The sequence below is a fragment of the Homo sapiens genome, chromosome 17, assembly GCF_000001405.40.
Source record: "Homo sapiens chromosome 17, GRCh38.p14 Primary Assembly".
Taxonomy (NCBI): domain Eukaryota; kingdom Metazoa; phylum Chordata; class Mammalia; order Primates; family Hominidae; genus Homo; species Homo sapiens.
In genome coordinates, this window is record NC_000017.11 from 40,783,891 (window position 1) to 40,801,165 (window position 17,275).

The following is a 17,275-nucleotide window of genomic DNA, read 5'->3' on the forward strand; positions in this document are numbered from 1 at the left end:
ACTACTTCCCTCTTTCCCATCTCTTTGCCTTTGTTCATGTTATTCTTTCCACCTGGTTTTCTTCTTCAGACTAAAAATTATAACAAATCATTTGAGATCTTGCATTTGCCAAGAATGATTGACATCACTTTCAATTACCTAGATTGAAAATGAAGTTGGCAAAAATATAAATTTTCATGACTTAATAAATGAGCTTGCGGAAAAAAAGCCAGAAAGATTTGTCAATCAATTTAATACATTATTAAAGTATTATGGTTTATTGTTTTACATAAAATTAGGACACCAAAACATTATTTCTTTGCTGTTTGTAGTTTATGCTGTTATATATGTGTACCCGTTACCTCATTACATGTTATAAATAATAAGACTTTTTAGAAGAAAAAGATTTATATTTTACTATTTCTTTTTTTTTTTTTTTGAGATGGAGTCTCGCTCTGTCGCCCAGGCTGGAGTGCAGTGGTGCCATCTCGGCTCACTGCAACCTCTGCCTCCCGAGTTCAAGTGATTCTCCTGCCTCAGCCTCCCAAGTAGGTGGGATTACAGGTGCCTGCCACCATGCCCGGCTAATTTTTGTATTTTTAGTAAAGACGGGGTTTCACCATGTTGGCCAGGCTGGTCTCAAACTCCTGACCTCAGACCACCCACCTTGGTCTCCCAAAGTGTTGGGATTATAGACTTGAGCCACCGCGCTGGACCTATTTTAATATTTCTAACTGAACTTTTTTTCTGACTTTTCAACAGGAGACCTCACATTTTCATTTTGCACTGGGCCTTGTAAATTATGTAGCCAGCCCGAATTGTTGGGTCTCTCTGAGGAAGCTGAAGAATCTCAGAGAAAATACCTCCAGATAGAATTGTTTGAGTGTTCTCCACAAAAAGGGAGCTCACTGTACAACCACTCTGGAAGGAAACACAGACACTTCACACAAAGCTTTCAAATGTTTAAGGTCTTACTCAAAACGAACATAATTTAAAATATCACGATACATTGAAAAACACTCCAACAAGAAAGACAGAGACTCAAACAAACAAAAAATAGCACTCAGGGGAAACAGAGATAATGAAGAACGTTGAAGAAAACTTTAAAAAAGAAACTACCTATAATTATTACTTTCAGAAGTAACAAAAATACTGTATATTTAAAACATGGATAGAACATCATTAAAATTGAACAGGAAGCACATAAAAGACCTCTTAGAATTAAAAACTAAGTCCCAAAAGAAAACTTCAATAGATGAATTGGAAAATAAATTTAAAAAAAAACTCCCCAAAATTAGAACAAAAAGATGAAAAGATAAATATGTGAGCCTTGAAAGAGCCAGTCTCTCTCTCTCTCTGTTTTTTTTTTTGAGACTGAGTCTTGCTCTGTCACCCAGGCTCGAGTGCACTGGCGCGATCTTGGCTCACTGCAACCTCCACCTCCCAGGTTCAGGTAATTCTCCTGCCTCAGCCTCCCAAGTAGCTGGGATTACAAGCACATGCCACCATGCCTGGCTAATTTTTGTATTTTTAGCAGAGATGGGGTTTCACCATGTTGGCCAGATTGGTCTCGAATGCCTGACCTCAAGAGATCCGCCAGCCTCGGCCTCCCAAAGTGCTGGGATTACAGGTGTGAGCCACCGTGCCTGGCGTAAAGAACCAGCCTCTTAAGATGAGTCCTGAGCAGCTAACTGGGCCTAAATTCAAATTAAAACCAAGCAACCATTTGCTGACTACAGGTCACATATTTACTCTGAGTTCCCAGAAAATGTGCACATCTGCTTAACTTTGGGACTTTCATAGCTTCCAGTTTATGCCACCTGAACCAAACAATAGGCTGTAACCTACATGGATCAATCAGAAGTCTGCATGCCCTGACTAATAAGAGCTAACTAAGCAAACATCAACCAACCAGAACTAAGTAAATTTCAATCCTGCATTTTGCATAAGCAGACCTAAGTGGGAACCTGGGTGGGAACTTTCTCTAAAAGACAAATTCCCTTCCTTTGTTCTCTGGAACACATTTTCATTTTACACCAAAGGCTGTGTCTCACCAGCTTGCTAGCTGTTTGCTGGAATGAAGTCTCTGTCCTTGAATTTCCTTCTCAGAGAACTTGTTTACAGATAAAAGAAAATATTAGAAAATGAGAGACTTGGGCCGGGCGCGGTGGCTCACTCCTGTAATCCCAGCACTTTGGGAGGCCGAGGTGGGCGGATCACGAGGTCAGGAGATCGAGACCATCCTGGCTAACACGGTGAAACCCTGTCTCTACTAAAAATACAAAAATATTAGCCGGCGGTGGTGGCGGGCGCCTGTAGTTCCAGCGGCTGAGGTAGGAGAATGGCGTGAACCCGGGAGGCGGAGCTTGCAGTGAGCCGAGATCGCGCCACTGCACCCCAGCCTGGGCGACAGAGTAACACTCCATCTCAGAAAAAAAAAAAAAAAAAAAAAAAAAAAAAAAAAGAAAAAGAAAATGAGAGACTTGGTCAAAGAAGAACAACATCAAGTAGGTCTTCTGGAAAGAGAGAAGGGAGAAATCATGAAGAAATTATTTTATAAACATATTTTCTGAAATACTACTCAGAACTAAACAACTGAGCTTCTAAATTCAAAGAGACCACCAAGAACCATGAATGATAAATGAAAAACATCCACAGTGAGGCACATCCACAGGATCTTTCAGAGAACCATGGCTGGGGGCGGGGGCGACAAACAAACACTTAAAATGTCAGGAGCAAAACCAACACATATTCAATTTTAGGAAAGCCATCATTCTAGTGAAGAATGCTTTCAAAATACGAACCCAGGCCAGGCGCAGTGGCTCACGCCTGTAATCCCAGCACTCTGGGAGGCCGAGGGAGGTGGATCACTTGAGATCAGGAGTTCAAGACCAGCCTGGCCAACATGGTGAAACCCCGTCTCTACTAAAAATACAAAAATTAGCTGGGCCATGGTGGTATGTGCCTGTAATCCCAGCTATTTGGGAGGCTGAGGCAAGAGAATTGCTCGAACCCATGAGGCGGAGGTTGCAGTGAGCTGTGATCACACCACTGTACTCCAGCCTGGTTGACAGAGCGAGATGCTGTCTCTTAAAAAAAAAAAAAAAGTGAACGCAAAATGATATCCAACCTTTTATTTCTAATCCTTTCCTAAGGTTTGTCACCTCATTTCTAAGTTTTTTTCTAATTGTGACTTATGTAGAGAACCAAAATTCTCTACTTTAACAACCACAAGTGAGGGTGGAATAAAAATCTTTTCCGACATGAAAGGTCTCAAAAAAATTATCTCTTTTGCACATTTTGTCAGGAAGCCACTAGAGAGAAAAACATGAAAAAGGAAAACTTAGGTTCCTGGAAATGGAGTTCCAATGTGAGCGCACTGAGTGAGTGTTCCCACATGACAGCTGGGTAGCAGGCTTAAAAAACAGCCAATGTTGCATAGGAGGACAGGAGATTCTGAAAGTGAGCACTTCAGGGGGATAGATGAAAATGATTTCTTGGTAGTTTTAATTGCATAAGAAAGTGGCATGAGAGATAAAGATACGGAGAAAACAGGGGTTAAACTACTTAGAAAATCGTTCTAACTTTAAACTAAGGGTCCTCCATGAATTCAGAAGGGAACGGAACGGCCTAGATCCTGTGAATTCTCAAAACTGACCAGCCATGGTTCCCTCCTGGGAGAGCAACCCACGACAAGGAGAAACTGCTAGGGGAAGAATCAAAATTATTCAGGAGAGGGTCACAGAGAGGAAGGAAACAGAAGGTCTAGATACAAGTGGAGGAGGGAAAAAAAGACAGGAAATTTCAGAAATCAAGCCAATGTATTTTTGAATCCTAGATAAAAACAAGAGAAAAGGGAGCTCTGTGAAGTTAGTAAAGCTATTTGGAATTATACTTTATTATTATTATTTTTTGAGACGGAGTCTCACTCTATTGCCCAGGCTGGAGTGCAGTGGCACGATCTTGGCTCACTGCAACTTCTGCCTCCCAGGTTCAAGTCATTCTCCTGCCTCAGTCTCCTGAGTAGCTGGGATTAGAGGCGTGCACCACCACGCCCAGCTACTTTTGTATTTTTAATGGAGAAGGGAGTTCACCATGTTGGCCAGGCTGGTCTCGAACTCCTGACCTCAAATGACCCACCTGCTTCGGCCTTCCAAAGTGTTGGGACTACAGGCGTGAGCCACCACGCCCGGCCTGGAATGATACTTCAGTCTAGAAGTTAAGGAACATGAATTGGCAATAAAACCAAGCAAAAGAAAAGGATTGAAGTAAAATCCCGGGAAATGTTAATACAAGATAATAAGGATGAGGAGCAGCATAGTGTCCCTATAGAAAATGAAAGCATACCGGAAAGACATGCCTACAAAACTGAGTAAGATACAACCCACCATTTCAAAGTGACTTAAAATCGCTAAAATGATAAAAGAAAAAAAAATTCCCATAAACCAGAATTAGAAAAAAACTTAGAAATGAGGTGACAAACCTTAGGAAATGATTAGAAATAAAAGGACAAAAACCTAATTAAACTAAGATACAATCACAGAAAATGAGAAATTTAGGGGAAATCAGTCACCAGAAGAAAGACATATTCTGGAAATAATCTTAAATAAAATATTAGCAAATACAATTCATTAATATATTAAATAGCAGAAAATATCCCAAGGAAGTTTTTCACCAGAAATGACAATGACTCAATATGATATGTAGCAGATAAAAGTGTCCTATGACAGAAACCATATGATCACCTTAAAAGTACTAGAAGAAAATGTGGGTCCCAGCAGTTGTAAAACTCAGAACCTATGATGGAAATTTTTATAAATATGACAATGAATTATACATTCCTATATGATGACAAAAATCGAAAGAAAAATAGAAATGTCAAAACATTTGCTACACCCAGTAACAAGTGGCAATTTATTTCCCTTGCAAAAAGCTCCCATAAATCTTGGGTTTTTGTTAAAAGAAGGAATAGCAGCGTGTAGTTTTTGCTTTAACAACCACTCGAGTACAGTGGTTGCATTCCTTTTTCTCCAGATGGAGACTGATTTTTGGGAAGTACTTTCAGTGTAGTAACCCAATTCAGCAAAAAGCAGGATGAAGCTTCAAGGATTGGAGAAGAACAGGCAATCATTAGCAGAATGTGTAAAGAACTCAGGAGCCCTAGAATTCCGCCCAGCAAAGGAAAATCAGTGAACCGAAGGCCATAGTCTGTTTTTATAAGCCAAGGAAGGAAGGACAGATTTAAGACCCAAAAGCCTGAGGACAAGATGTTTCCTCCCATCCTGTGGACTCAACAGAACTTAAAGGAAACTTATCCAGAATTTAATTTTACTCCCATTCCTTTGCTGAATAGATACACAGTTAATTCTGGTTTATTTGTTTCAGCAAGAAATGGTGAATTTATAGTTATCTTTTCAAGTCAACTGTCCCCTCACCACAAAGTGTAGTGTGCACTTTCTGTGCTGTAATGGGCCTTGCCTTGGAAAGCAGGCCACCATGAAGACAGTTAAAAAAAAATCAGTGTGTCATGAGCATACCTGATAAGCAGGTCTGGCATCACAGGCATAAAGCCTGTGTGTGCAGCTGCACAAGGTCTCATGTTCAGAAAGGCCCCACATTTGGATTAATGCTCTCCCGTTACTGTCTTGAAAATCTTAGTTTCAAGATGGTAACAGAACTTTATCTTTTAACCTGTCTCTTGTTAGTGAATTCTGTTGGGACCATGGGGGCATACAAGTGAGCATAGAAGTATGCCAGATATGTTTGCCTGCAGGTGCTCCTTACTGTCTCAGGGGCATATGCCCATGTGCCCAACATTCTGGTGGATCCACAAGGTGCAGGAGTCTAACAAAACCCAAAGCAAGTACAAGGTAAGTATATTGTGTCTTTGACTGAGTAATCCCAATCTCTGTCAAACCCAAGAAGCCAGGCTTTCCATTCAAACCAGAACTTGCTCTCTGAGTATAAAAAGAAGACATTGGTCTTCTAAAAAATATGAATGACCAAGGAACCCTATCATATACTTTTTTTTTTTTGAAACAGAGTCTTGCTCTGTCACCCAGGCTGGAGTGCAGTGGTGCCATCTTGGCTCATTGCAACTGCCACCTCCCGGGTTCAAGTGATTCTCGTGCCTCAGCCTCCTGAGTAGCTGGGATTACATGGGTGTGCCACCACGCCCAGCTAATTTTTGTATTTTTAGTAGAGATGGGGTTTCTTCCTGTTGGCCAGGCTGGTCTCGAACTCCTGACCTCAGGTGATCCAACCGCCTTGGACTCCCAAAGTGTTGGGATTACAAGAATGAGCCACTGCGCCCAGCCTATCATATAGTTTTTTCTGCTGCTTTCCTGCTTGCCTGTGTTGCCAACTGCATAAGTGGAAAATGATGACATAGAAAGATCAAACAATCCATAGTTCCTTTTCCTTTCAGTCTTTTTACTCATTGGTAAACCAAAGGTAGAGAATGCTGGTAGAAGGTGGGTATATACAGAAGTGAAATAAAAACAATTGAGTTTGTTTTGTGCAGTGTTTCCACTGTTTTGGTAGGAACAAAATACATATGCATGTATGAGCTACAAATTATGAATTGTGTGATTTTGGGGATTCTGTATACAAGTTAAATGTTCTTTTGCTTGGATTTCAAACTGGCATGGCACAATATAAAAACTCATAGTAACATGTATGCCAATAATTTAGAACTTTAATTTTTCATTATGATATGGTTTGGCTCTGTACCTCCACCCAAATCTCACCTTGAATTGTAATCCCCATGTGTTGAGACAGGGAAGTGATTGGATTATGGGGGTGGTTTCCCCCTGGTGTTCTCTGAGATAGTGTGAATTCTCACGAGATCTGATGGTTTTATAAATGGTAGTTTTTTCTGTGCCCTCACACACTCTCCCTTTCCCGCCACTATGTGAAGAAGGTCTTTGCTTCCCTTCACCTTCTGCCATGACTACAAGTTTACTGAGGCCTCCCCAGCCATATGGAACTATGAGTCAATTAAACCTCTTCTTTATAAATTACCCAGTCTCAGGTAGTTTCTTTATAGCAGTGTGAGAATGGACTAATACACTTTACTTAGAACAAAACTAAATAGCAAAAAAAAAAAAAAAAAAAAAGAAAAGAAAAAAAAAGAAAGGAAACAAAACAGCAACAACAACAACAACAACAGAAAACCCCAAATCAAAACAACAAAATCCAGGACAAATTGAAAACATAAATGCAGATGCAAGGAAACAGCTTGATATTTTAGTGCCTTTGGGTGATACATTTTTCCTGATTGTTGAACAAGGAATCCTATGTTTTCATTTGGCGCTAGGTCCTGAAAATTATGTAGCTGGCCCTGAATATTGTACATTTGGAAATCATTTCTCTGTGGATTTCTAGTATTTGCTTCATTTGATGGCTTTTGGCTGAAGATTTTGTAAATATCTCATTCTTTGCCACTTCTCTGAATCCCATGTGACTGGAGGATTGTGAGACAGAATTCCTTCTCTTGCTGGAGATTTTCACTGGAATCAGGCCATATACCAGAGAAATAAAGGAGCTGCTTTCCTTTTAGGCAATTTAATATTTGTTGGGAATTCCTACCATACATTTTGATCCAGAAAGGTATAAATAGTCATAATCACAAGAATCATGATGTTCATCAGCCTCATGGGGCTTCACATTCGAGAACAGGTGTTGGTGGGTTAAATTTGGCCTGCTATGTGTTTTTGTACAGACTGTGAGCTAGGAATGGTTTTACATTTTTAAATGGTCAAAAAAAGTTAAAAGAAGAAGAATATTCCACGACAGGTAAAAATATTTACAATTCAAATTTCAGCATTAATAAATTAAGTTTTATTGGAACACAGTCATGTTCATTCATTCATCTATTGTCTACGGCTGAGGTTTGTAGTTGAAATAGAGACTTTACGGCCTGCCATGCCTAAAATATTTACTATCTGGGTCTTCACAAAAAAAGCTTCTGACCCCTGTTCTAGGAAAAGTGTCACTAACACAAGCCATATTGCTGTGGATTTTTCCGGAGATTATCCTGTTTAGACGAGGAATGGTATCCTGGGTATTGTGGAAAGAAGAGTTTGAGAGAGGCTCTTGGTAAAATACCAGGAATGCGTCATCTAGTGGTGAGACTTTTCAGTCACAGGAGAATTTCTGAAGTTTTTGATTATTTGCCCACATAGACACGATGTGATTTAAAGATTATGCATAGTGAATGTTTCATATTCAAATGCCATGTGGCGGTATTGACTATTATTTAAAACAACAGTGAAAGGCAATTAAAATATATTCCACAAGTGTTTCTCTATGAATGAGACATAGAAAAAAATCACAAATAGTTATTTATTAGTCATCAGTGAATGGAAATGAATGCACATCAACTTTTTTATTTATTGGAAACAAACACTCAATATCCTGTAAAACTAAGAAAACAGGTATTTTTGCTAAGTAATGTATCTTTAAAAGTAAAAAGTGTGTATATTCTCTCTGATATTTAGAATAATGCAATTGTACAGGATCCTTTCCCAAATTATTCTTTTCTCTAAAATGACAGCTAGAAAGGAACCCTTTGTTCTGTCTTGCCGTTGGTCATTTTAGATGTCTTTTCTTCAATGGAGTGAATCCTTGATGAAAGAACTTTACCACGTTGATCTAGCTCTTCAACCACTGTCTTTACCAGTGTGGTTTTGGATAAATCTAGAAATAAAACATAGGCATACATATATTCAACCAAAAAGATTACATGACAATTCCACTGCTAGTTCAATATAATATATTATGCATATTTTTGATTGAGGGAGTAAGTATATATTTATAATAATAGCTTGGGATAGTTTTAGCCACTTGATACTTCCTATTCAGAACAGTTTAGCTAAAACTACTTAAATATTGACTACGGTTGTAGTGTATGACTGCCATTAATGTAAAAGTATTGCTGTGATAGAAATAGAACTAGAGGGCTCATGCTTGTGATCCTAGCACTTTGGGAGGCCGAGGTGGGCAGATCACCTGAGGTCAGGAGTTTGAGACCAGCCTGGCCAACATGGTGAAACTCCGTCTCTATTAAAAATATAAAAACTAGCTGGGCATGGTGGTGGGTGCCTGTAATCCCAGCTACTCAAGAGGCTGGGGCAGGAGAATCACTTGAACCCAGGAGGTGGAGGTTGCAGTGAGCCGAGATAGCACCATTGCATTCCAGCCTGGGCAACAGAGCGAGACTCTGTCTCAAAAAAATTTAAAAAAAGAAAAGAAAAGAAAAGAAATAGAACTAGATTTTATTACCTTTAGATGAATTCCCAGGGCTTCCTGATCCAAAGCCCTTTGATTTGGAGCATGAACTGTAAAAGAAATATAGTTTATTCTTTTATATTTCTGCTTACTATCGCTTCAGAAATATTCATTGACTCAATGAATGAAATTTGTATGCCAAAAACAGGTCTTAGTTTTCTATAGAGGAAACTCTTAAGATTTTTATGTGTAGGAGCTGAAAGTAATTAAATGTTATCTAAAGAGAGAATATAAATAAATCTTGTTTCCATTTGATTTTTTTTTTTACACCCAAGAATTTAAAACTTAAGGACATACATATATATATGGATCCAGGTGGTTTGTACAGAGTACATTTATTTCAGGGCAGCAGTGAAATTAGGTATGCACTGAAAGAAGGATAAAGCCTGCTTGTGGGAGGTGGAGAGAATCTTGAAACCCACAGTGATTAACATGGACAACAGATGGGAATGGCTGCAGGAACATTTCCAGTCATCTAATGCAGAGGAGAACACTGTGATGAACAGGATTTGGAAGAGATGACTCTCTTCCAAAAAAACAAGAGATGGACATGCTTTTCTGCAGTGGGAATGAAAAAGAAAAGGCTTGGAAGTATGGAAGGCTAATGGGCAGCCCACATTTGTAGCTTAAAAGAGGTAAAAACTGGATTTTCAAATGGCTTTACTTACTTTCCATCTCCATCTATCAGGCGGCAGTAGGTCTCAATTTCTTTTTCCAAGTGGACCTTGACATCGAGGAGATGCTCATACTCCAGCTTCTGGCCCTCGGTCTCGGTTCTGACCTGGTGCAGCTGCTCCTCCAGGGCCCCGATCTGAGCCTGGATCTGCGCCAGCTGCGTACAGTAGTTGCTCTCGGTCTCTGTCAAGGAGCACTCCAGGGAGTGTTTCTGAGGACATCAAAGAAGCCGTGGCAAGGGATGAAAACACTCTGAGGACTAGTAGAACATTGTTTCTCAGTAATCAGCAGGATTGCTCCCTGGGCAATTGTGGAAATTTGTGAGGCTTGTCACAATCAAATGGGAAAGAAAGGAGGCTGGCATTTATGAAGTGAGGGCCAGGCATGATGGACGTGGGATCCTGACCCGGGATAAATGGCCCTTTTCCCACAAGACTTTTGATGTTCCACTGGACATTGATGATATATAGGTCATATTTCTATTAAAACCAACTGATATATTAAAGCACCTTTTAAGGGTAGCAGAATAAAAAATCGATATGGGAAAACTTGTATTTTGAAATTATATATTTATTTCAGGGTTACCTGTTGTTTCCATCTTACTCTGCTACTGTCCCCGCAGATCCACTCCGCTAGTGTTCCATGGCCTTTTGTGCTACTGCTTTTTTTTTCTCTAATCCATCCTTGATTTTCTAGCCTCTATCAAAGGTCTTTTATTAAGGTACCTGAGATTGAATGAGTGCCTTAACAGATGTGAGATTTCAAGGCAAGAGCTATATCTCATAACACAATACAGGTCATTATTTCGACACTACTCTTATGAATATCATACTTCCTCTTTGCTACTTCTACAGTCTGTAATTTGTCTTGGCACCTGCTGCCTCCTTTAATTAAGGTAATTTTCCTCTTTCCCTTATTATAGATAAATATGTCTGGGCAATTATTACTTCTGTTGATATTAGTTATTATCCAAGTGTCCACCCCAACTTCCACTCTTTCATTTTCCTTTTCTTGTGTGGAGGAACTTCTGATCTTACATGGTTGAAAATGAAAGATTTATTAAGAGAAGATGCAAGGCTCTGCCTCTTTCATTACATTTTCTAGGGTAGTTAGGCCCAAGTATTTACCTAGTAAATACATTTTATCTTAAAATACTTGCCTTTTTATTGCATTTATGGTATTATACTTTAAAAAATAATTTTGTATATTTCTAAATCTATTACCTAGTGACTTCATTCTAGCATTGCAAAGAAGGAATTACACAATATTTGTCTTAACGGGCAGACATTGGGTCTAATGGGGCTGAGAACCTAACACTGACTTAGAGCTACTGACTTAGGCAAACAGACGTGTTACATGGAGGGTGCTGGGCTCTCCAGGAGCAGGTAAGTGGAAGGAGATCAGGATGGTAATGCGGAGAGTAAGGCAACAGGTAGCAAGACGCCAGTGAGGCGTGTGCTCGGCAGCTCAAAACTTTAATTTCCCTGGTAATGCGTCCTCCTAGGGTATTCCTTTTTATGATTGCTAATACACTCATAAGTCAGAGAGGACAGCGTCTCTACTTCACAGTCTTCCACCGTGAAGGCTGGCTTGTCAAAGAGGGAGGAGAACAGGATGAACTTGAAAGTTTGTACATCACAGGAAGCAAACGTGAACATTTGTGTATTTAGACAACTCCCAACTTACAAATGACTTGTGTTCTAACTCTAGGAGATTGAGCTTAGAATTCATAAGACAACAGGGCCTCAGGGATGTAAGTTAGGTACTATGCTCCCATTATTCTAGAATTCAGTTATGTCCTGTGTTAAGTGGGCTTTTTATGTGTGGATTATCCTATGAGCCCAAATTATAGTACCACTGGCTGCACAGACTCTAACTACTTTATAACATCCTTGTTTCTATGTGAAAATGCTCACAATTCTGGTCTGGGGACTCGAAAATGTATTTCCATCAGCGTAGCTCAGAAATAGAGGGAGGATTCACTCACACAGCTCCTGCAGCAGGAACAGAGTCCTCAGGGATCTAGTTCAGGGAAGAAGGGAAATGGAGAAGAAAGGAAGGTTCCAGGAGCCCACAGTGGCAGGGGTGTCTCGGGTACCTGCTAGCAGCAGTGATGAGGGAGAGGAGAAGAGGGCCATCCTGGTTAAGTTAGGGGCCAGTCAGTGTAAAAACAAGTCTCCCATCTAAATCCGATATAGGGAGAAAGCACACACCTTTAGAGGGCGGCTAAATCAAAAGAATCTCCCGTTGTTTTGAGTCATCTTTTCCTTTTTGGCTCACTGCACTCACTTGGGTAACAGCTGCTCTCTTCTTTGTGTTACAACCTGGTGTCCTCAGGAGGCACGAAACCTCTTATGGGGAAGGGAGTCCTTAGGCCATGTGCATGCCGTAATTCTCAAAGTCAAGCCTTTTGGGCACTGCCAGCTCACACTCTAGAAGGGAAGCCATTTTTAATCCTGGGTTGACGCCATGCTGACCTTTGAAGTAAGCCAGGAGCTGGTGGTATGCCCAAGTGGCTGAAGGCCTGGCTCCCAGGTGTGCCCTCCGGGATTTGACCTCTGCCCTGGACTCTGTGGCGATGAAGAGCCTGACAGTGCCCATGTGGCATTCAGGTGTGTACCCTCTCTTCCTCTGCCTGGTGAAACCACATGTGGCTTCTAATATGTCTTCATCAGTATCAGGAGATGCTGGTGTGATGCTGGCTCCCTGCCCTGTGGGACACTAGCCCCACACCCCTGATCATAGACCTGTGGCTAATTTTCTGGTGCAGCAATATTGCTGCTGTTTGTTTTGCGGACCTAAGCTGAATTACCCTGAGAAAGGATCTATGTGAAATGTCTATTTTCATGAAATGAGCACTAAGCATCAGCCAGGAAGGAAACTCCCAGTGATGTCAAGGAGGAAGAAAAAGCTCTCTTTTGAGTGTCTATGCATCTGTTTTTTCCTGCTCTCCTCCACTCTCTCTGCTAAGTATTTGCAGGCAAAGGTATAATAGGAAAAAAGAAGGAAGGGCAGAGGGAAGTGTTTCTCGGAGGCTTTCTAGAATCACAGGATCCAGGCTGACCTTCGCTGTCACCTACCGTGGCCATCAGGGACTGCAGCTGGATCTCCAGGGTCTGCAGGGTGCGCCTCATCTCGGTGAGCTGGCTCCGGGCGAAAGTGGCTGCGCCTGAGTCGTGGGAGATCTGTTGCTGCAGCGAGGCGCTCTGTAGGGCCGGGAAAAAGGGTCACACGGAGTCCCCACCCCCGGGGAGGTGTGAGCAGGGAGACGGGGCCCACCTCACCTTCTCATTGAACCAGGCCTCCGCGTCCTTGCGGTTCTGCTCTGCAAGGGCTTCGTACTCCGCTCGCATGTTGTTCAACAAAACCGCGAGGTCTACCCCCGGGGCCGCGTTCATCTCCACGTTCACGTTGCCCCCAGCCGCGCACTGCAGAGCCTTCATCTCCTGGAGAGAAGCAAGAGTGTGGCTTTAGGGGCATTGCAGGTTCACACTCAGTCTGAGAAGTTCTCAAACGTGTTACTTTATGTCTCAAAGTTTGCGGTCAGGTGTATAATTTATGGCACACAATTTTTTAATTGACATATTCGGTCCATATTCATGCCAATCATCTATTTAATTAGTGAACTGTTGACCGGGCGAGGTGGCTCACTCCTGTAATCCCAGCACTTTGGGAGGCTGAGGCGGGCGGATCACTTGAAGCCAAGAGTTCCAGACCAGCCTGGCCAACATGGCGAAAACCCATCTCTACTAAAAATACAAAAATTAGCCAGGCTTGGTGGTGTGCGCCTGTAGTCCCAGCTACTCCAGAGGCTGAGGCAGGAGAATTGCTTGAACCTGGGAGGTGGAGGTTGCAGTGAGCTGAGATTGCGCCACTGCACTCCAGCCTGGCCACAGAGCGAGACTCTGTCTCAAAACAAAGCAATAGAAAACAAACAAAAAAAATTAGGGACCTGTTAATTAAAATTACCACCACCACCAAAAACAGTCATAGCACCCCAAGAGAAGTAATTTATTCTTTTAAATGAGAAAGGGATTTAAAGACCGGAGAGTTACTCAACATATAGTTACTGACTAAATGTCAGGTTGATGGGAATAGAACAGTAGAAAAAATCCTGAAATCCTGGCCCTCATAGGCATTCATCCTAGGGATGACCGCTGTCATTTATTGAGTGATTATTATAGGCCAGGCACTGTTCTGAGCGTGTGATATGTATTAATTCATTGAAGCCTTTTAACATCCCCTCGTAGTAGGTAGTATTATTAGACTAATCTGTCTGTATCCGTTGGCAAATTATAACAATGAACCTGAATTACTATTGTGATTTTAACCCCCAACCCCTGCCCAGTATTTAAAATGTACAGAGTTGTGATTGGACTACAGGTAAAGCTTCTCCTACCTCTTCGTGGTTCTTTTTGAGATATGTCATCTCCTCACTCAGAGACTCATATTGCAGCTCCTGGTCGGTCCTGCAGAGCGTCAGCTCGTCCAGGACTCGCCGTAATCCGTTGATGTCGGCCTCTACGTTTTGGTGAAGGGTGAGCTCATTTTCATACCTTGGGGGGCATTTAAGTGAATTTCAGTGCCAGTAAGACTACCCCAAGAAACAGAAATATTCAATCCCAATTGCTTTAAACTGAAAATTAGAAATTGAATTAGGACTGTAAATAGTATAAAAATATATGAAGAAAGCGCTCCTGCATTACCCCCACTCAATTCTGTACAGGATAATTGGAAGTTATTTCATCACACAAATTCCAATAGCATAACCTAGTTAAATAAAAATACACCATTTTGGAATTTTATTTTAGTTAACGTTTTTCCTTAGTTGACTAATGATTTACTGAGCATCTACTTTGTGCTTGGCAGTATTCTAGGCAGGCAGAGAAATATATTGATATTTTGTCCCAGGAATATAATAACTATGTATAAGTTGATTGTAACATTATAATACAAATCCTTTGCTTCCTTTTATCTTTTAGGTGATAGTTCATTCTACTTGGGATGAAATAGAAATTTTATTTAACAAATTAAATAAATAGAAACTTTTTTCTAGAGCAGGATTTTCTTCTGTCACTTACTTTAGCCTGAAATCATCAGCAGCCAGTCTGGCATTATCAATCTGCAGAATGACATTAGCATTAGTAGTAGTGGAGGAGATAATCTAGAATAAACCAAAACAGAGAACACAACAAGTAAGTATGCTTTTATGTGATTCATTATTTCAGGAAATGAAAAAGGTTACTCAAGTTTTTGCATAAAAATTTCACCTCCTTATGTAATAATCAAAATGTTTCAAGTTTAACTTTTAAAAATTAAAGACATGGTTTTATTTATTCTCATATATTCCCCTAAATTTAGAACTACAATACTTTTTTATTCATATGCCTATGAATGTACTTCAACATAAACAATGGAACTAATAACATTTTAACTACATTAAAATTCATGAATCAAAGGGCCCATTTTTGAATAGTAGGAAGAATTGTTTATCTAAATAAATAAATACAAGTTATAACAGTCATGAAGCATTTCTTATTGTATGTCTTTTGTTAGGTATTTCTTAGTTTTAAATACTTGGGTTAGTTCCAAATCTGTGATTTCTCACCTTATTCTTAAGATCCTCAATTGTTAGGTGATATCTGCTATAGTCATGATCAAGTCCACGGCAAGATCCAGGTCCGTATTTTTCATACCAACCCTTGATTTTTCTCTCTAATTCAGCATTTGCCTCCTCCAGAGCTCGCACATTATCCAGGTAGGATGCCAAGCGGTCATTAAGATTTTGCATGGTCACCTTCTCATTTCCAGAGAGGAGTCCCCCTTCGCTTCCAGCAAAGCCAATACAAGCAGCATTTCCAAGGGCACCACCAGCATGGCTCCCACCAGGAACACTGCCCAAGCCCCCTCCCAAGGCACAGGAAAATTCACTTCCAGCAACAGAGCCACCACATGCACTGCTGCCTGCAAAGCCTGCACCTCCATTGAGGGGTCTGACAGATCCAGCTCCAGACCTTAAGCAAACATGCCTGGATCCATTAGAAAATTGGAGAGACATGGTGTTTTGAGAAATGTTCACCTTGTCTATGCAAAACTGTAATGTCCCAAGAGAACAGAATATCATGCACTGATAATTTCTTTGGGTTTTTATATATCATTATTGGGGCGTTCCTATTTGAGTTATACATGCCAAAAGCAAAATGGCATCACTTAGATTAGCATAAAATTATGTATAATTGGGTGATTTTAAAAATAATTAATGTCTAACATCCCTCGGTGTTGCTTTGGGCTATTTCTTATCTTAAATATAATAGGGTTTGTTCTATATTAAGTTTATTAATTTAACTTCTAATTTTGAGTGAGTAATCCTTTCCTTTCATCTAGACCCTAGGCATATACTGTCATTATCTGGCGCCAGGTATTATCAAATTTTTTATAAAGTTAAGTAAGATTATGATAGAGTTCTGTGAGGTACAGTAGGGTCTCAATTACCATGGAGGGGTATAAAGGACTGCTAATTACAGAAACAGATATTTTATCCCACCAGAAAAAAATGTGTTATTTAGAAAACAGAGGCTAGTGACATCTCTGTTCTTACCATGATTATAACATCTATTTATTATCTTGGACAATGACACAAATATTGACCTATTATTTTGTTTAAAATAGCATGGTTATGATGTTTGGTGCTCTATGCTAAGTGCTAAAATGAAAGACATAGTGTTAACTAAATGCAGAAGTGAAAAATGCGTGATTACAATCTTTAAGAAATCTATTGTCAGGTCCAGACAGGGGCTGGATCATGGTTAGCTTTCTGTGCTGGTCTAAAGAGTTTGTAATGAATCCTAAGTAAAAAGCAGAGGGCAAAATGATCAGGTTGAAATGAAACAAGGTGGTCAATTACAAGGTTGGAATAATGGTCCAGGTGAGAAGGATGAAGGCAGTGGGGATGCAGAGAAGATGGCTTTGAGAGCATATGGTAATATGATTGAATTTGGAGAGTAGGGAATAAGGCAGAATTGGGGATAACTCTTAGGTAATTAATTTTAGATTCTGGGAACTCATAATATTCACTGAGATGGGGAATAGAGGAGGAGGAAGACACTGAGTTTAGGTTTGGACCAACTGGATTTGAGGGGTTGCCAGAATGTTCCAGATGAAGGTGACTGATAGCAAGAATGACTGTTTAGAATATGTATACTGAACTGGAAAAATACTTGACTAGCAATGAGTAAAAGAAAATTGGAGGGTCCAGCTCTCATTTATAATGATGTTCAACTGCATATTTGGAAGTAATCCTGGTGCAGGAATAGAAAGGATGATGATCAGA

General features: G+C 40.4%; 1 protein-coding gene across 1 annotated transcript, besides 1 other annotated feature; it reads right to left on the reverse strand.

The window, feature by feature from the left end:
* On the reverse strand, window positions 8,306–16,069 carry KRT28 (keratin 28). Its single transcript, NM_181535.3, has 8 exons — window positions 15,554–16,069; window positions 15,027–15,109; window positions 14,345–14,501; window positions 13,230–13,391; window positions 13,026–13,151; window positions 9,939–10,156; window positions 9,265–9,320; window positions 8,306–8,679 (listed from the first exon to the last, which is right to left on the reverse strand). Exons 1-8 carry the CDS (start codon window positions 16,001–16,003, stop codon window positions 8,537–8,539), a joined length of 1,395 nt encoding a protein of 464 aa, NP_853513.2. The 5' UTR covers window positions 16,004–16,069; the 3' UTR covers window positions 8,306–8,536.
* Window positions 14,048–15,247: an enhancer, noted in NCBI's record as "BRD4-independent group 4 enhancer chr17:38954190-38955389 (GRCh37/hg19 assembly coordinates)". NCBI's record gives its function as "activates an origin of replication core promoter dependent on BRD2, P300/CBP, MED14 and CDK7 cofactors, and independent of BRD4, by STARR-seq in HCT116 cells {active_cell/tissue: HCT116}" and the evidence as "EXISTENCE:reporter gene assay evidence [ECO:0000049][PMID:35650434]".